Raw genomic sequence first — 20763 nt, forward strand, 5'->3', positions numbered from 1 at the left:
CAAACTCCTGGCCTCAAGTGATCCTCCCATCTCAGCTTCCCAAAGTGCTGGGATTACAGGCGTGAGCCACCATGCCTGGCCCTATTGTATAATCTTTTAAAGCATTTTTCAGTTACTTTAAATTTCCAAAAAGTAAAAAGTTGGATTCTATATTGTTGTTTTTTTTAAAAAAAAAAAGAAGTTGTGGAAACACCGACAAAAGTACTATGCACTGTCCACCAGAGAAAAGAAGGAAGCTGTATCCCCTGAGTGGGCATTTCACTGCTGTGAGCTAAGAAGACTGTCCTCTAAAATACCTCAGCCATGGCATTCACTCTGGCAATGCCCAAGCATATCACTGCCTTCTGAGAACAAGACAAAAGAAACCAACATTTCCTGGCTCTCGGTGTTCCACAGTTAATTTTGAAAAGTTTGGAAAGAATTTAAAGGAAAATAATATTGGCAACATGAGCAATTGTTCCCACATTACAACAAGAAGTTATTGAGAACTGCCCATCCCAACTACAGATAATGTGGCCATAAAGCTATGACAGGGGAACCATTATTTTAGAAATACATTCAAGGATCTGCAAAGGAAAATAATTGTTAGAACACAATAATACATTATAGACAATAAATAAACTAAATGTCCATTTAAAAATTCATTTCCACACATGTGAAATTAGAATGTCAGAAGTAACAGAATTCAAGAAAGTCCTCAATCATTCTAACATTTAGGTTTCCAAATGTTAACTAAGCAAGCATTTTTACCCCTTTGATCCATGAGTCATTGTCTTGCGGTAAACCGGTCACCTACAGCTGCTGAAATGTCACGTTTTGCCCTGTCCAGACATGTCAACATTCCACCTTCTCATTCTCCTTTCTAATGCAAATTCTAGGAACCCATATGTTGGCCAAAAGTTCATCAATTTCACATGGTTAGTTTGAATTGTCTTCACTGAAGAAACTTTTTTTTTTGAGACGCAGTCTCGCTCTGTCACCCAGGCTGGAGTGCAGTGATGTGATCTCGGCTAACTGCAACCTCCGCCTCCCATGTTCAAGCAATTCTCTTGCCTCAGTCTCCCAAGTAGGTGGGACTACAGGCATATCCACCACGCTTGGCTAATTTTTATATTTTTAGTAGAGGGGGGTTTCACCATGTTGGCCAGGCTGATCTTGAACTCCTGACCTTCAGTGATCTGCCCACCTCAGCCACCCAAAGTGCTGGGACTACAGGCGTGAGCCACAGCACCCAACCTTGAAGAAACATTTCAAAACATTGGAATTTTGTTTGGGATACGCTCAGAGGCTGGTTCTTGGCTAAGACAATAAATATAGAGTTCAAATAAATTAAAAGCCCATAATTCTCATTTTGGTAGAAGTCTGGGAACACATCAGTGTTCAATAATAATGCTCAATTTAATTAGTTAATTCATACAACTAATTGATAATTAAGTAATGTAATAATTAAGCAATTCCTTCAAAAAATACTGGTACATGCTCTGTACCTGCCAACTTCTAGGATACAGAAACACAGTTTAAATCAGACAAGTAAAGAATACGTCCTCTGCTGCTTATGTTGTAGCTGGGGGAGAAAGAATATAATAAGCTATGACTAATGTATTCATAAATTCCTATAAAATTTTTTTGAATCTATTGTAAACTCACTCAGACATTTTCCAAAATGTATGCTAATCTATGCCTACTGATGAAAGGTTCAGAAGACTTAATGTCACTTTCCCAGGGAAAATTAATCTGTTCTTTATTTTTCTTGAGCTGAAAAAAAAAAAGGTACTCTATATTTACTGAAACTTGCAGAATAGCTGTCTCATGAAAAGAGAAAATTTTGACTTTCAAGTAACATTTTCTACATGGGTAATTCTGCCCAATGTAAAAAGTGATTAGATCTTCACTATAGAGATTCTCATAAAACTGATTTCAAGAAATATGCCTTCCAAAGATAAGAGCCTCTGAAATTCACATGAAGTGTGCATGCAGCTAGAGATGGAACACATCTCATGCAGACAGTTACTTCAATCCCCAAACATGCAAAACTTTCACAATTCAGAAAGCAAAGGAGAAACACAATCACAATTGTACAGACATATTGGGGCCTCAAAGAACATTAAAGTCTCTGTAATATATACAAAACCAGATATTAACCTACAAACCTCTTCAGTTTGTCTAAAGTTTTTATGAAATAGATAGTTGGGGCCAGGTGCGGTGGCTCATGCCTGTAATCCCAGCACTTTGGGAGACTGAGGCGGGCAAATCATGAGGTCAAGAGATCGAGACCATCCTGGCCAACATGGTGAAACCCCGTCTCTACTAAAAATACAAAACTTAGCTGGGCGTGGTGGTGCACGCCTGTAATCCCAGCTACTCAGGAGGCTGAGGCAGGAGAATCGCTTGAACCCGGGAGGCGGAGGTTGCAGTGAGCCGAGATCGCGCCACTGCACTTCAGCCTAGCAACAAAGTGAGACTCCATCTCAAAAAAAAAAAAAAAAAAAAGAGAGAGAGAGAAACAGATAGTTGGATGATTCATTTTTTCTAGTCAAGGCTCAGGGGCCTCAAGCTTCCTTGAACTGGTGATGCAATGGCACACATGGTGTCAATAAATGAAAACTAAAAAACACAAGTATCTAATAATTTTATACAAAGAAACAATGTACAAAACTAAAATACACCAAAAAAGTAAGCGACGGTGAATCTAAATGAAATTCCACCCTTCTTACTCACAAACTCTTTGTCCCTCAATTTTCATATTATTTTCCCAGTCTCCCCAGGCTCTAAAACTTGGAATCATGCTTATTTTAGCCTCAAATTTTTTGTGTCTTATATCCAAGCGTTCTTCATACCTCACCCCTTTTTATTTGCGTAGTGCGCCCTACATTCTCACTGTTGGCACTCTAGTCCAGGAGCTCATGTCTGAACGCCTGCATTTTCTCACCATCTCCTAACTGGCCTTCTGGCAGCTCCCTCACTCTCCAAAACATCCAATCTATTGCTGCTAGGTTCATATTTTTCGCATGCCAATTTCACGAGCTCACCTTCCGGCTCAAGAATAGGCAGTGGCTCCCTACTGCCTGCTGGATCAAACCCACATTCCTACACTATCACTACATGTCTCAGTCCCCCATTCACTGGCCCTAAGTCACCTCTAAATGGAGAAGCTATGCAGCCTGGGGAAAAGAGCCTGGCTTTGTCGTTGGGAAACCTTTGTTTTAAATCCCAGTTCTGCTATTTACTCCTTATGAGACTTTGAGCAAGTTACTTAAATTCCCTGAGCTTCAGTAAACTCCCTTGAAAAATGGGAATAATAAAATCTATCTTGCTCGGCTATTATGAGAATTCAATATAATCGCTAACACAGTGGGTTGGCACAGCTCGTTTATATTTTCATTCCTTTGTTCCCATTAGTCCCCAGAATGCGCATCTCCCACCTCTACTTCTCAAAGATCCTAATAATGTGTTAGCAAAATGAGAGCAGCTGTGCAGGACCTAATCGGAACCTTGGGGCCTTTCTAGCAAATTCAGATTGCTCCTTTTCCCATATCTGTTTTTAAGAATAGAGGTGGAAATCCTTTCCTGGAAAACTATTTTCTGTCAAAATCAGTCCTTACACATGACTCCATTTCTTGAAATTCCCATGGGCAACGTAAATGCCGAAGATTCTTAATTCTTATTTATATATGAAATTAAGAACTATTAATTGAGAGCCTATTAACTGTCAGACACAGAGTAAGTTGCTGAAGATATACCCATGATCTTCTCCTACAGAAATGATCAATTATGGAAAACAGCAAGTCTGACAAGCAAGTACTCAAAAAAGAGGACAAGCATGATAGTAAGAAAAGTATAGGCCAAGTGCGGTGGCTCACATCTGTAATCCCAGCACTTTGGGAGGCCAAGGCAGGTGGATCACTTGAGGTCAGGAGTTCGAGACTAGCCTGGCCAAGGTGGTGAAACCTTGTCTCTACTAAAAATACAAAAATTAGCGGGGCATGGTGGCGCACACCTGTAATCCCAGCTACTCAAGGAGGCTGAGGCATGAGAATCGCTTGATCCTGGGAGGCAGAGGTTGCAGTGAGCCGAGATAACACCATTGTACTCCAGCCTGGGCCATAGAGCAAGACTCCGTCTCAAAGAAAAGAAAAGAAAAGTATAGGCCACTCAGGCAGCAGAGAGAGGAAGCCAAATTTAGGTCAAAGGAGAAGGTACGTGCCTCTAGAAGAAGGCTATTTAAGCTAAAATTTGACCTATAAGGAGGGATAAGTTTGATGGAATTGGATAGGAGAAAGACTTCAGGGCATGGAGACAGAGTTTTCTGAGCAGAGAAACAGCATATGCGAAGGCTTAGAGAGAGCCAGCCCACGTGCTAACAGGAATTGAAAGAAGTGCCATCTTTAACTGGGTAGGGCTGACAAGTGTGAGGAAATAAGAAAGGTTACCAGTTAAGGTGATTCCCACAAACCAGGAAGTGAACGTGTACCTTCTTGTAAGGGCAAGGGAAAACAAAACTGTGGATTTTAAATCCAAGATTTTACCAGCTTGGATTTCTACGGCTGTTAAACTTGCATATGGTTTTGTAGGACTTGTGTGCCGCGTCACACTAAGCACATACTCTGTGGCGTGAAAAATGGCAGATGAGCCTCTGGACTTGACCTTTCTCAATGAATTCTAGGTAGTATAGTTTGAAGTAGCAACGTGTGGTGAAAGAAAAAGGTAGACTATGCATTGGGTAACTGGGTAGCAATAGCATAAAACAGAAGAGAGGTGAGGCTGGTCTTCCCAGGCAGTGTCAGGCAATGACGGAGAGAGAAAAGCAAAGGGATTCAATGACAATGAGATCACATGTAATTTCAAAGGAGAGTTGCCCTAAATTTCATTTCCAGAGCTGTTCTCTCAGAACCCGTTGAAGGCAGAAAACAGGGTGGTCTTAATTGTGTCATGTATCCTGGCCCGAGAGGGAGTCGGATTGGCATGCTGTAAGTCATGGGTTTAGGAGTCCAAGGGACCTGAATGTGAATCTGTTTTTTTCCATTTACTCCCATGTGACTTGGGACAATTGACGCAATCTCTCTGCATTTCAGTCTATCCCACTTTCAAAATGTGGAGACAACTACTACCTCTCAGGGTGATTTTGAGGAGTAAATGAGAGCATATATGCAAGGTACCTTGAATCACCTACCTTGGCCTAGAGTAGACACTAAGTAACAGGTGGCTCTTCCTAAGATGCTATGGACTCTGCTACCTCTCAGCATTAGGCTACTGAGGAAGTGTAGGGACGGGGCTGGTTGTAACCCAAGGTAGAATTAGAATTCTGCTCTTAGGTGCTTAGGCTTAGGTGCTTTGAGAGCGACTTTGTTGAATCTGAATTCTTTTAAGTGGCAGGAAGTAAATAAAGCTTCTTGGCTTGACAGGACATGCTTGGGTCTTATTTCACAGTTGGTGTCCGCACAGAGAAGAGGAATATCACTGCTAATTAAGCATTCATTGAGTAGCCTTTTTTCCCTCACAGTAAACATATAATTAAGATTCGGTGTGTGTGTGGGTGGGTGTGTGTGTGTGTGTGTGTGTGTGTTTGTGGTGGAGAGGAAGAGAGAGGGAGAATTCCCCTACATACCATTAGTTTTATAACCATTAGTTTGCATACCATTAGTTTAATCCTATAGTTCCCTAGCCAGATAGCGGCAAGCTTATTCTCCATTCAATGCTGCTAATCTAACTGTATTCAAGTACATGCTTTGCAACCTGAATATTGCTTTCTGTGTTGCCATGAAAGCAAGCCAGGGCAGGAATGCATGAGTGTATCTAAGGCTCTATCCCTTTCCTCTTTCTAGCCTAGTCTGTCAACACTGCTGCTCCTTGTGGAAGCATGAAGTTCCTAATGCCTAAAATAGGTAACTCATTTCTCCTCTAAGAGAATCATAAGCTGAATGAGCTGATGAGGCCAAGCCAGCCCAATCTGGAAGCCTGTGTGGTTCAGAAGGACTTCCTTTAAATTCTATGAAGACAGGGACAGCAGCCAGAACATATTTGCTAAATAATTTGATTCCCGGAGAAGATGAACATCCTCCTTCTATCTGAGCTTTATTACTTCCCACAGACATGCCAAGCTCCATCAGCGTCCAATCTTTCCAACAGCCTCTGGAAATGCCCTGACCACTATTAAAAGGTAAATCAGTAGGTTCTCTCATGTTATAAAAGATGTAGAGGACTATCGCTTGCCACAACTACCCCAAAACAAAGGCCTGAAATAATATGAGACAAGAAAGAGACATTTATATTAACCTTAGTTCCTCTTAAGAAGGAAGCTGTATTTGTTTAGGAAAACTCTCTTACAATAGAAGGCAAGACCACAGACCCAGGTTGCCTCAATTTGGGTAAAACCATACATGCTAGACAAGATGAAGAATGTATTCAGGAGGGGAGAAGAAAAGAGAGAAAAAGGATGCCAGTGGAAAACTGCACACTCTGCCAGTGACTTTTTGTGAATCCCTTAAAACTTTGATAAAGTTGTTATAACTCACCAAATGCTTGGAAAAAAAAAATGTATTTTTATGGAACCCAAAGAGGAGCTTTGTGCCACATTTTTCATGAGGTGAAGCTGGAGCAATAAGTTTGGGGGCAGAGCAGCAGAGAGGAGAGTGCTTATTCCCAGCACTGGAATTGGATTTGGGTCTGGTTTAACCAAATCTTTAATGAACAGGTGCCCAGGGCTATGTGAGCAACGAAAATTGATTAGTGGCCAGTGAATGTAAATTTATCAACTAAAAATTTGGCCCACAAACAATATGCAGTACTTATTTTGCATTTATAAAGTTACATGATGTACAGCTCTGTTGCTTGAATGACATGCATGCCCACGTCATTTCACAAGAAGAATGTCACATAAAAAGAACTTTCCTGGCTTATAAGCAACTCCTAAGTACTTTTCCCTTAATTGACTAAAGGCCCTCCAGTGCTGATCTTCACAGTACTACAAAGGGACTCACACTCTCCTGAGAGCAGCAATCAAACCTCACTGGGTTTGTGGAGAGCATTCCTCCTTGGAAACGTCTCCTCATTCGACATTCAACAACATCGTCATTTTCAACATGATTCAGGTCACGAAAGATCAGCACACTTTCTAAGAATAACTTTATTTCCAGCCATTTTCAAAAGAAAACTAGCCTGGGATGCAGACCACAACAGTATACCGACTTTTTAAGGAATAAACTAGGCAACTATCTTTTCAAATGTTGTCTAAGCACGACTAGTTTAATGCCATCACAGAGCACACCAGGGGACAAGAGGTGACAGTCGCCAATGCAAAGCTGGCATAGGGGTTAGCGATTCCAAACCAACCCATTTGATAAAGAAGGTCGGGGGAAAGAAGGGGAAGAAGAAAGTAAAGGAGGAGAAATTGAAAAAGCTTCTCTGAATTGAATCAACTGACACCCTTGTAGGTCGTGAAGCCGAGTCTCCTTTTAGTAGAGAGACCTTAACTATGTAAAGGTGCCATGTTAAGTGATGGCCACATAAATCCTGAAACTATTAGAATCCCTCGTGGAATAGTAACATTAATAACAGAACTTAAAAGTCTCCTTTAGCAAGGATGTAAATGTCGACACTCCCTTCCTCCCCAGCCAGAGTAGTCAAACAGGATGGGTTTCTTCTCCATAAAACACAGAAGCATAACCTACATATCTACTGCACCAGAAATGGCTTCTATAACTTATTTGTTTATTTACTCCGCTCCAATTCCCAGAAATCAAAATGAACTTTCCCATAGGGATCACCTGATGCCTTTAACGTATCCCTCATTAAAACGGCTGGGAATAGGAGGAAGAAAGCAGACTCACCATTTGATTGCTATACCAGTACAGTGACGACCCCTTCAGTATCACCCAGAACTTTTTCCATTTGTTGCTTAGGAAACTTCCCTTTTCCTTTTTCTTATACAGCCACCCTTGGCAGTCAGCATGGCCCAGATCTTTACACGATATCCTCCTCCGACTCATCGTGAGAAAACCTGCAATGATTACATGAAGAGGTAGATAATGTATTACCCTGATTTGGTAGGTAAAGTATTATCCTGATTTATGTGACAGAGTGAAAGGCAACTTTTAATTGTTAACCCCCCGGGGAGCTGGATTTTTCACCAAGATTTATGCAAAGCCTATGCAAAACCTATGCAAAACCAATGCAAAAAAAAAAAAAAAAAGCCATGTGTCTGTTTTATTTTTAAACATTTGTTTCATGCTTAGAAGGTATAAGATACGGCCAAAGAAACAGCGCAGCAGGAGTAATATGCAAGTATTAGTCTAAGAATAGTATTCACCAAGAATAAGTTGAAAATAATTAAAATTGTAAGGCTGGCGGGCATATCAGTGCAGTAACATAGCTCCTCTCAACAATAACAGCCGTAGTTATGCAATAGATGTTGAAGGGTTAATGCCCACCTCAATACACAGCTACTTCCCGACTCACTGCCAGTTTTTCTAAGCTCTTTTGACATACCACGAGGGATTAATCCAAATGAACAACATGTCGTCATTTCTTAAAATCGATTCAACAATAACCAAAAATTAATCTGCCGTCCACCTCCTCTTATTAGCATTAAGACAGACAGAAATCTGATCCCAAGGAAGGCACCCCGGAGAAAAGCCACACTCAACGTACACAAAATGGAGATAAAGAAACAAAAGAGATCTAATTACCTTGAGTTTTCCTCCTGGGCTTCTGACGCAAGGGAACCTGCTGAAAATGCAGGAAGGAAAGAAAAGAGGAAATTTCTGATTGTGTTGTAACATTTGTAAAGAGAGAAGGAGGGAGGAGGTGGCAGTGTTTATGAGCAGGATGGAATCTAAAAAAAAACTCTCCAGGCAGAGCTTAACGGGGAGCTACTAGCTGAGGCACAAAATGTGCTAATTAGAATCAATATACATTGAGCTGAACCTGAAAAAAAAAAAAAGTCACAGAGCATTTATCACTGATGTTTCCTGTTCCCACCCACAAGCCGCTCTCACTACTACTTTAGTTATGATAGCACAGTGTTCACGGAAGTTTTAAAAATCAAAAAATATTTCCCCTTTTGTGTTTTTGTGAGAGAAGGAAAAATATATCTGCTTCTTTTGCAATTTCTAAATAACAATGATTATTCAGATAAACCTGGAAGATAATTGTTACAATCTCAAAATATTAGAGTCACTTGACTATTCAGCTCATAGTCCTGCTACCACGTAGGGTTAGACCTAAACCACATGAATTAAATATCCCAGAAAATGAAATTCCACAACCTCTTTCAGTGAGAGTTCAGTAGCAATCAACCCTCCTTATCAGGAAATTCTTATTTACAGACAAATTAAAGTTTGTTATTCTGTCTTTAAATATCTCTGAATATTTCTCACGTTTTATGGAAGATAAATTAGTTACCACCTACTATTCTGTACTAGCTCTTCAAATCAGACATAAGACAACATATATGAAATATACATTTTTTCCACAATACATTTTAAACAAACATACAATCAGACTATCAGCAAAAATAAAAAATATTTTTAAGTGCTTTAAAATACGTGTGTGTGTGTGTGTGTGTGTGTGTGTGTGTAGAGAGAGAGAAAAAAAATTTTGCTTAAAGAAGTTCTATTTGTTTTTTCTTTACAAATATCTAAGCTGAACTGATTTAAATTTGAAAGACAACCTTTTCCGTTAACAGGTAGAGAACTCAGGGGAAAAAACGTGTGAAAATGAAAAGCAGTTCCAAAATTTGGTATGTAATCTTAGTACAGCATTTTATAATGTTTTCTAGAGGTTCCTGGCTTATAGTCTACATATCTAACTATTGATCTGATAGCTATTGTATATGGTTCTACTGTATGTTTGAAGAAGGGATATGACATAGTGAAAAGAGGAGAAGGTCTTTAAATCCAGAGGCCTGGAACCAATTCCTGGCTATTATAATTAGTAGCTGTGGTGCCCAAGAAAATAGCACTCTCTGAATCTGCTTCTTCATTTATAAAATGAAGATATTGATAATAATTCTAATCCTATAGGTCTTATAAAGATTTTACAAGATTTATTTGTGAAAATCCTCTGAGAACTAAACAACATCCCTTTATATGAGTATGTGTAATATAATATTATATCGTTGAGATAAACAAATACTTTATATCTAATAAACAGAAAAAAATCATAATTTTTATAAGTATGATTTATGTATCCTTCAGCAATTACAACGAAGCTAAAGTGTTTAAATTATATTTCCTGGGAAATATAGATCCCAAGAAATATTGCACTGACATTTCATCTGACCAATGTTAGAGTAAAATTTATCCCCCCCAAAATTAATCATCCATAAAGATGGCAGTAATTACCTTAAATTTTAAGCAAAGATAGACATGTTATAATCATGGCATGTTACTAAAATCCAGGCAAGTTATCATGAAAAGGACCTAGTCTCAGCCTCACTTCACAAATATCTCCCACACTGACCTGTCTTGTGTTCTAAAGTTCCTATCATTCCCTCAAATCATCTCCTGGGACCTTTTTTTGATATGCCAATTCTCTGAGATCAGTAAAACCCAACTAGTACCTATTGGCAAAATATTTTTGCCCAAATATGTATATTATTTGAGTGGCTAAATTTTAGCTGAGAGCCAGGACTAAAGACAAAGAAGAGAATTCGTGAATGTAGATGCTGGGTAAGATTTGGGAAATCTGGGGTCCAGGAGTCCCTAGCAAGCACTTGAGACAAACCAAGAACCAGGGGAATAGGGAGAAAAGGGCGTTGTTAACAGTCATTCCTAGAGTGCTCAGGCCTCCAATGAACAAGATGAAATTACATTAGTTCAAACAAGAAGAGCAGCCTTCAGATGAACAAATGAGAGGAAAGTCCCTGGAGGGCAGCGATGGGATCAGCCAAGGCAGAGAGGAAGTGATGCTCCTTCCATCGCTCCCAGCTGGGTACCAGTGAGTATCCTCCACCCATTCCTTGTGAGCACCCAGTGGGACTGGAGCCCTCCGGCTCCACCTTAGGGCTACTTCCAGGGAAAGCCCCAAAATGTGAGCTTTGTCTCAATTCTGCCCAAGACCAACCCTTGGTCTACACCACGTTCTTATGCCTAGGATGGGATGAGAACAATACCTCAAGCAGAACAGGCACCCAACTCAAAGAAAGGCTTTTTTTTTGTTTGTTTTTAAGTGGGGGAGGGAGCTTAGTTATTGAGTCATTGAGTCAACCCTGTTCTGACAATAATTCTCTTAAAGCAAATTATTAACTGTTAAAACTGTTTTCCCTGACCAGAAACAGACTGCATATTATAGAAATAACAAATTCAGGGAGTTTCAGTTTCACCTAACATACATGAATTTGAAACCTAAATTGGTTTATATGAGACAGTGAAAACAATCTTTGAGAACTTTATTGCATCTAAGATAGATTTTACTCCTCACAACAGGAAGTGGAACCCGTGAACTAGTCCGTTTCAAAATGATCTTGCATGTGGTTTTTCGCTAGGTAAGTAAAAAAAAAAAAAAAGCAAGCAACCAGTTGAGCATTTTATGAGATGGTTTTTCAATAGGGGAAATTATAACTTGCTATCATCATAAATATTCAGAGCCTAGTAAGATATTTTCTCATTCTATTTTCTTCCAGTTTGAATGTTATAGGTAAAACTAAAAAATTATTCTAAAAATCTGATTTTGCCCTAACTTACTTCTAAAGTTGAGGGGAAATTTTTCTTTGAAAATATGTATTTCTTTTTCATTGAAGAAGTGTATTTTTCTTTAACTTTTTAAAAGATGGTTCAAAAACTTCATTTGGCCACGAATCACTCAAAAACACATGGAAATATACAAAAGACCCAGTAGAAAATATACAAAGGAAACTCCTTTGATATTGAATGTTGGGGCTAACGCCCAGGTTACGGGTAACTGTTATATTGACTTATAATCCATATAGTAGTTGTTAAACCTTGCAGGCAAAATTTACCCCAAGATGTATTAAAATTCACAGTAAGATGCTCTGTCATTACATCAGACTTCATAGTGATCCTAATCTTTAGCAAAAACTATACAGTGATATGCTGGTAAAATGGGCTCTCTGGTTGCAGGAGCCCTAACTGGTGGCTTTTGTCAATTTCTGTGGTAGAAACCCTCACATCATTGACAGTTTCAAATTACCAATATTTTAACAACCAAGCCACAGAAATTCCTGACTATTTTAGAGCCATACCAGATCGGCACAGCACTGATAGAGCTGTTAGGGATGTTCTTCCAGAAACCCCTGACATCTCCACAAACGTTTTTTATCCTTCCCAGAAAAATAGACTCAACTTTTTAAAGGAGATTCTAAAGCATCCAATTAATAGACATTTACCTGTGAAAACATGAAAAGCTTGCTTAATTTTTTCAGAAGACTAACCACCTTAAATAATACTTAATACATTAATTGAAATAATCTGTCATAGTAGTGGATAATGAAGAAAGACAATAGACATTCTAACAATAATAACAGAAGCAGTAATAAAAACAATGACAGAGGTTGGATGTGATGACTCACGCCTATGTCAGTGATTTGGGAGGCCGGGGTGGGAGGATGTCTTGAGCCCAGGAGCTCAAAACTGGCCTGGACAACATAACAAGATCCCATCTCTTATTTTAAAAAACCACAATGACAGCTAAAACATATGAATAAAGCTTAATAATCATATCATGCTCGCATGTGCCAGGCGCTGCTCTGAGTCTTTTCAAGATTACTAGCATTGAACTCTCATAGCCACCTTTCTGGCTCAGGTGCTATTATTATATCCACTTTACAGAAGTGGAAATTAAAGCAAACGGAGCTTCAGAATTTTGCCCAAAGTCACCAAAGTAAATGGTAAAGTGAAAATAGGTATTTCAAGAATAAAACTCTGCATAGTAAACTGTTAGGATATTTGTTTGCATTGTTGCTGTTTTGTTAAGAAGTAGGGCAGGGAAGCAAGGACTAGAGATTGTGGCGAAGATGGATACCACGGCACTTTCCACCTAGAAGAGGAAAAGAAGAAATGAAAGGAGGACTGGGAAGAAGGGGAGGAAGGAAGGGAGAGGAGATAAGGAGCTGCAGGAAGGGTGCAAGAGAAGACGGAAGAAGGAGGAAGACAATGTAGAAAGTGGGGAAGAGCAAAGTTCCAGGGAAAATCGTGGAGTTTCTAGCTGAAACAATTGCAATAAATGACTTAGCACCATAGAGAACACAGTTAGAAATGTACATATTGTTTCAGCAGTAAAGATACTGAGTCTGATAAACATGTGAGACATCTAAGTGGAAATACTTGGTATACAGCAGTATATAAGGGATTAGATATTGGGAGGAAAATCTGGAATAAAGACATAAAATGTTGACTTGTCACTGTATAAAGAGTAGAAGTCTCATGTTTTGGTCAGATCACCCAGAGAATGTATAGAATGACAAACGCTCAACATCAGAATCCAAAGGAAAACCAACATGCCCCAGAAAAGCAATAGAAGCCCAGCAAGGGGACTGTGCCATTAACAGCCAAAGAAAAAGTAAAGAGAGGCAGGAGAGAAGGTTGTCGTGGAGCAGAGGGAGGAATACAAGAGAAAGGTAGGTCCAAACCTTCCAGTACTGTCAGTGTGAAAAAACAAAGGACGAGCTCCTCTTGGCCAGGCACGGTGGCTCTCACCTGTAATCCCAGCACTTTGGGAGGCCAGGGTGGGCGGATCACGAGATCAGGAGTTCAAGAACAGCCTGGCCATCACGGTGAAACTCCGTCTCTACTAAAAATACAAAAATTAGCTGGGCGTGGTGGTGGGCACCTGTAATCCCAGCTACTCGGGAGACTGAGGCAGGAGAACTGCTTGAACCCCAGAGACGGAGGCTGCAGTATGCCGAGATCATGCCATTGCACTCTAGCTGGGGTGACAGAGCAAGACTCCATCTCGAAAAACAAAAAAAAAGAAAAGAAAAAACGAAGGATGGATTCACTAGAGATTTGGCAAAACCAGTTTAACTATTGTGTGGGGCTACAAGACCAATCCGAGTGGGTTGAGAGATGAGTGGGAATTGAAGAAATAAAGACAGCATTGCAGACTACTCCTTCAAGAATCTTCACTGAAAAGAGGCGTCATGATAGTAACAGGAAGGCACACTGCCAAAGGACAGAGATTGCCACAGACCTCCCTCAAAACCAAGCTTCTGTGCTTAAACCCTTTTATTGCAGTAAGATACAGATACACACTTAGAAAGCACTTCAACAATACAGTATCAAAGGCTTCAATTATATTCATATTCTAACTCATTGATCATCCATTTCTTTCTGCCTTTTTTCTTTTTGAGATTATTTTTAAGAGAATTAAGTATACTGTTATCTCTCTGTGTACTCCTTCCCTTTTTCATTTCCCTCTCATTCTCCTCACATTACACTAACTTGAATGTGATGTTGATCATTTCCTTGCTTTTTTTGTTGTTGTTGTTGTTTTCTCCTTGTAGAGACAGGGTCTCGCTCTGTTTCCCAGGCTGGTCTCGAAATCATAGGCCCAAGAGATTTATCTTCCTCAGCCTCCCAAAGTGCTGGGATTACAGGCACGAGCCACCACATCCGACCTCCTTTGCACTTTTACTATCTATAAATAATATTTTAACAAAACTAGAAGTAATAACATTAATGCAGACATTTAATTTTCACTATTATGTTTTTGTAATGTTTTCACGTTGATACATGTATCTCTAGTTCATTTTCAATGCTGCATAGTACTGCAGTGAAGAAAAATGCCACAATGTATCTCTACCTATTGATGCACATTGAAATTATTTACAATGTTATGCTATCACAAAAATGTTGCAATTAACAATTTTGTATAACTTCCATTATTCATATATGCAGGTGTCTTTCTGGGCTACCTATGTGTCTGGAAGTGGAATTCCATGATCATAGGATATGTGCATCTTTAATTTTTTAGATATTCCCACGTTTCTTCCAAAGTGTCCTACTTACAGACCCTCCTGCAATATATAAAATTTAGCTTTCTACAACCAGGAATATGTTTTAGTCTCCTATCTCAGAGTTTCAGAAATCTTTCCTACATCTCCTTCTACCTGTTTATTTTTTCTCTTTCATTAATGTCTGCTCTTAACTTATTACCCTTTCTTTAAATTTTTAAAAAAATTACTGTTATTTTTTTTCCAGCTCCTAGAGGTGATGTATATCTTATTTATATTCTTTGCTTTTATTATAATAAAACATTCAGAGCTATACATTTACTGGGAATTTTGCTTTACTTGTATCGCCTTGTTTTTCCATTCTAAATCATTTCTTTAGAATAAGACATTGGAATATGTATTTATAGGTTTCTTAGCATATGGGAAATTTTTACTACTTTTTTTAATTTCTAAATTCATTGCATTTTGTTCAGAACATATGATCTTTATGATACCAATTTCTTGAAATTATTAGCATTTATTTGTGACATTACATAATCAAATTTTGTAAACATTCTATATTAGTCCATTCTCACACTGCTATAAACATACTAACTGAGACTGGGTAATTTATAAACAAAAGAGGTTTAATTGACTCACAGTTCTGCATGGCTGAAGGGGCCTCAGAAAAGTTACGATCATGGTGGAAGGAGAAGGGGTAGAGAGAGACACGTCTTACATGGCAGCAGGAGAAAGAGAGAAGCAGGAAGCACCAGATACTAATCAAACAACCAGATCTTGTGAAAACTCACTCAATATCATGAGAACAGCATGGTGGAAACTGCTCCCATGATCCAATCACCTCCCACCAGGTCCCTCCCTCAACATGCAGAGATTACAATTTGGATTACAATTCCAGATGAGGTGGGGACAGAGTCAAATCATATCACATTCTATGTAAACCTAAATCAAAACTGCTAATTTTGTTTTCCAAATCTTTTATATCTCTCTTTAATTTTTGTTGCTGGAATTACAACTTTGTTAGCATTTCCATCCTTTTATTTTCAAACTTTCTGTGTGGTTGGTTGGTTGGTTTTTGCCATTTCTTTTATAAGGACCATATGACTACATTTTGATTTTTTTTAATATAACATGATTATCTGTGCCTTTTCATAGGTGAGTTTAATCTACTTACATTTAACAACATTTTTATTTTGCGGTTTTGGTTTCATTCACTTCATTTACTTTTATTTTTCCCTTTTTTCTTTCTCACATGCAATTTCTCTGATGTTTAATTTAGTATTTCTAAATTCACCATAAATATAGCATAACTTAGCATATTGTAACTCCTGTTTGAATGACTACTCTCTTGTTATTGCAGTCTACATATTTATTTTTCCATTAAAAATGTTGTGTATTATTATTCTTAATCATAAATTTATTATGATTTAAGTTATTATTTCTCAATCAGAAATCACAAGTTTTCCTATTTCTGGGATCATCTTTCTTTCATTTATCATATAGCTTCCCACTGGATCCACTTTTCTGTTTAGGAGGGTGCCTCTTTGAATAGTCCCTTTTAATGAGGATCCATAGGCAGTAAATTCTCAGTCTCTGTGTGTATTGTAATGCCTTTATTTTCACCTCAAAACTGAATGATAATTGAGGTGGGTATAAAAGTATTTTCACCCCTGGCACTTTGACTATTTTGATCATTGGTCTTCTAACAACTATCACACTGATCGATTTCTGCTATCAGTCTGTCATTCATTGTACTTGATTTTTCTTTTCACTCTCTTAAGGCATTCTCATCATCCTTGATATACTGTAACTTTACTGCAATGTTTCTAGTTATGGACTTATCTTTATTTATACTGCTCAATCCTCTGAGTGAAGCTTTAATTGATAACTTGCATCTTTTCTCAAGCATGGAAAATTTTAAAAGGTCTTCAAATCATGCTTTTCTGCCATTTTCCTCATTCTCTTCTTTTGGGAGTACTGTTAGATTTGTGTTAGAGATGAGTGATTTTTCTTTCATATCTTAGCTCTTTTTTAATCTCTTTATCTCTCTATGCTACTTATGTCTTATATCAGTTTTTCAAATCTGCTTCCAAGTTACTAATACTCTTTTTTGAAAGTGTCCAATGTTTATGCCATCTATTGAGCTATTGCAAGAAAGGTATTTTCTTTTCTGAAATTTATAAATTTTTTAAAAACCAACTGATACTTTATTATTGGTGCTTGATTTTTCTTCAAAAATTTTTAAAAGTTTCTTTGAACCTCGTACTTAAACATTTTGTCGAGCTTTTAACTTTTTATTTAATTTAAAATGAAGCTATCTTCTAATTTTTTATTCTATATTCTATCTTTCTTAGCATTGTTATTTGTAAATGTGTTCTGGGATTTGTCTTAGTCAGTTTGGACTGCTGTAACAGAGTACCATAGACTGAGTGGCTTAAACAACAAATATTTATCTCACAGTTCTGGAAGCTGGGAAGTCCAACATCAAGATGTGGGCAGAGCTGGTGCCTGGTGAGGGCCCTCTTACTGGTTTACACATGGCCATTTTCTTATTATATCCTCACATGGCCAGGGAGAAAATCATCTCTCTCTGGTCTCTTCTTATAAGGGCACAAATCTCATTCATCAGGGTGAAGCCCTCATGACCTAATTAACTCTCAAAGGTTCCGCCTCCTAAAATCATTACATTGGGGATTAGGGGTTCTATGTATAAATTTGTGGGGATTGAATAGGAGGGACACAAATATCCAGGCTATGATAGAATTTAAATTTGCAGAATTGCAAGTGAAAAAGTTTTATGTCTTCTCTTTCTCTGCCTTACTATCTGTCTATATGGCATTCTTTCTCTCTGTGTCTCTGTCTCCGTCTCTCTCTCTCTCTCTCTCTCTCTCTGTGCGTGTGTGTGTGTGTGTGTCTCTCTCACACACACACACTCTCACTTTCTCTCTCTCTCTTCCCATCTGTGCTTATGGCTCTCTCTTTTGCTGTTTAGAAGTTACCTCTAGTTACTGCAAAACTAGTTCTACAAAAATATCCTAATTTAATCATAGAGAATCTTGCACACATGGTCCCCAACTTATGATGGATAGTTTGACTTACAATGACTTTATGATAGTACAAAAGCAAAAGCAGTATGCATTCAGTAGAAGTTGCACCTCAAATTTTGAATTTTGATATTTTCCTGGGCTAGTAATACATGGTATGATACCTTCACATGGGATTTTCAACACTTTATTATAAAATAGGTTTGTGTTAGATGATTTTGCCCGGTGGTGGGCTAATTTAAGTGTTCTGAACATGTTTAAGGCAGGCTATGCTAAGCTATGATGTTCAGTAGATTAGGTGTATTAAGTGCATTTTCAACTTAAGATATTTTCAATTTATTACAGATTTATCAGGATGTAACCCCATGGTAAGTCAAGAAACATCTGTATATCCTGTCACTGATCCAGTTGGTGACTAAATTTAGTTCCTGGTTTGGTGCCTGTGTCTGTATCTCCTTCCTCCCAGGGCCCACAACTAGCAAAATGTGTCATCTCAGGCAGTGATTTGGCAACTGTTTCCTCCATTTATCTTTAGCTCCTTTCACAAGTGAGGAAGCTCCATTGTCATCATGGAGTGAACCTAGCTAGCTCTCCCCACATTTAGCGGAACATTTTTTACACCCCTATCCCTTAACCTGCAGGCAGAGGCAAACTACTTCCTGCTTCCAGACCAGGTGCCTATCCAGCTCATGGCTTCAGTCATGCTACACTTTTCATTTCTGATCCACAGAGATGCTTACCATGTTTCTGAGCCTAACTATCATTTTTGGCTTTTTATGTTTTTCTTTGTCTATCATTGCTATATGTTGGAAGATGAATGGAATGTCAAAATGTGTACCACCCTTGAACGGAAATCAGTTAATTCATTTATAAGATTCCATCTTAAATCCACAAATAACAAACAAGTCTCTTCCCATACTGGCCTCAATATACCACCAAAACTTTTTGCTTTTTTGTTTTGTTTTGGTTTTGGGTTTTGTTTGTTTGTTTGTTTGTTTTTTGAGACAGGGTCTTGCTTTTTCACCCAGGCTGGAGTACAGTGACAGGATCATGGTTCGCTGCAATCTCAACTTCCCAGGCTCAAGCGATGCTCCCACCGCAGCCTTCCAAGTAGCAATTGGGACTATAGGCACACACCAGGACATCTGGCTAATTTTTTATTTTTTGGTAGAGATGGAGTCATGCCATGTGGCCCAGGCTGGTCTCAAACTCCTGGCCTCAAGTGATCCTCTCGCCTAGGTCTTCCAAAGTGCTGGGATTACAGGTGTGAGCCACCATACCCAGATAACTTTTTTCTATTCTGCAGAAATATCAGACACTTAAACAGCTCCTTGCTTTTGAATACTGTATTTCCCTCCCCATTCTTCTCCTGGTTAATGCTTACTCATCCTCTGAGATCCAGGTCAAATGGCACCTCCACTATGAAGCCCTCTCTGACATCAGAAGGTGGTTAGTTCTAATACTAACTTCATATTCACCCAGTGTTATTTATTTGTAGCCCCTGTAATAAGCTATTTATGTTATCTCTGAAGATCTTCATGGTAGGTACTATTTTTATCCTCCTGTTCACAGATGAGGAACTTCAGCTTGGTGTGGTTAAGAAACTTCTCCACAGATCACGCACAGCTAGTAGCAAAGCCAAGAATGGGACCCAGCCAGTCAGACTCCTAAGCCTATTGTTTAATTATATGTTCTCCTGCTGTTCTGTCTTCTGTGTTCTCACCATGTTTTGCTATGCCTCTGAAATTGATATTATAATCTGTTTATCTGTGTGGGATACCATGGTACACACACTGTGGTAACACTGCCTACCCAACGGTCCAACCCAGAGCCTGTGAGTAATCTCAGGTTTGCCCTTTCCCCTCTCCTACACATTTGCTCACGCACCACCCATGTCCAGGTTGCTTCCTAATATTTACCAAATCTCTCTTTCCTCTCTATCTCCACTATTGCTGCCTTAGTCAGATCCATATCAGTTCTCTCTTAAACAATGACCAACCATCTCATTCCTGGACTCCCCGTCTACAGTCTAGATCCTCAAAACCCATTCAACACACCACTGAACAACTACAACTCTGCTTAAAATGCATCAATGACTGGCCAAGACTTCAAGACAGAATTGATGTTCTTGAACATGCCATGTCCTCAAAATCTAGCACCTAGCCCAATGACTGACATAAAGTAAGCACTCAAAAAAATATTTAACAAAAAGTTTTATGGTCTTATATCAATTTTTCCTTCATATGATGCCTTTAGTAAGCATGATGCCTTCCTATGTGCCTGGCAGATAGTGGAACTTTGACAGATGTCTGCAAAGCCATCTACTGCTCGATTACTCAGAGCTGTAAAATACCTTGGCTAATAAATAATATCAGCAAAGTTAAGCAACACAAAAGTTTCACCAATACCTTTCTCACTCCCAAAGAGGCACATCCATAGAGAAAACCCCATAGGATTGACTGACATGAAACTTGAATTCACAGGAAGAGTTGACTCTTGGTATTTTCTTGAAGGTAAAATGGACTTTTGCTGAACAAATCTCTAGTTCTACTAAAAGACTATTTCCTTAAAAAGCACAATACCTTTCTCCCTCATCCTCTTTCAACAAACCCTCCAAATACTGAGAATCTGGAATCAAAGAAATATGAAATGCGCGCTGGGCATGGTGGCTCACGCCTGTAATCCCAGAATTTTGGGAGGCCAAGGCAGGAGGATTACCTGAGGTCAGGAGTTCAAGACCAGCCTGACCAACATGGAGAAGCCCTGTCTCTACTAAAAATACAAAATTAGCCGGGCGTGGTGGCATGTGCC

General features: G+C 38.8%; 2 protein-coding genes across 8 annotated transcripts in view, besides 2 other annotated features; one reads left to right on the top strand and one right to left on the bottom strand.

Annotated features, from left to right (window-relative positions):
- OPRM1 (opioid receptor mu 1) overlaps positions 1–8103 on the top strand; it is a 236372-nt gene extending 228269 nt beyond the window's left edge. Inside the window, exon 4 of the mRNA NM_001008503.3 lies at positions 7929–8103. Coding sequence (NP_001008503.2) covers positions 7929–8021 — 93 coding nt within the window. The 3' untranslated portion in view covers positions 8022–8103. The remainder of the gene's footprint in view (positions 1–7928) is intronic.
- Positions 1–20763, bottom strand: part of IPCEF1 (interaction protein for cytohesin exchange factors 1) — a 202308-nt gene that overhangs the window by 84269 nt on the left and 97276 nt on the right. For 5 of the 7 annotated variants that reach the window (NM_001130700.2, NM_001394799.1, NM_001394800.1 and 2 more), the window contains 2 exons: positions 8685–8724; positions 7827–7996 (listed from right to left, as the gene is read on the bottom strand). In NM_001130700.2, the coding sequence (NP_001124172.1) occupies positions 7827–7996; positions 8685–8724 (210 nt within the window). The remainder of the gene's footprint in view (positions 1–7826; positions 7997–8684; positions 8725–20763) is intronic. The other 2 variants (NM_015553.3, NM_001394802.1) reach the window with 1 other exon arrangement.
- Positions 698–898: a silencer, noted in NCBI's record as "peak6225 fragment used in MPRA reporter construct". NCBI's record gives its function as "represses an SCP1 promoter by STARR-seq MPRAs in K562 erythroleukemia cells {active_cell/tissue: K562}" and the evidence as "EXISTENCE:reporter gene assay evidence [ECO:0000049][PMID:32103011]".
- Positions 19536–19655: an enhancer, noted in NCBI's record as "active region_25295". NCBI's record gives its function as "activates an Ori minimal core promoter by ATAC-STARR-seq in GM12878 lymphoblastoid cells {active_cell/tissue: GM12878}" and the evidence as "EXISTENCE:reporter gene assay evidence [ECO:0000049][PMID:35858748]".

Source organism: Homo sapiens, chromosome 6 (assembly GCF_000001405.40).
Source record: "Homo sapiens chromosome 6, GRCh38.p14 Primary Assembly".
Classification (NCBI taxonomy): domain Eukaryota; kingdom Metazoa; phylum Chordata; class Mammalia; order Primates; family Hominidae; genus Homo; species Homo sapiens.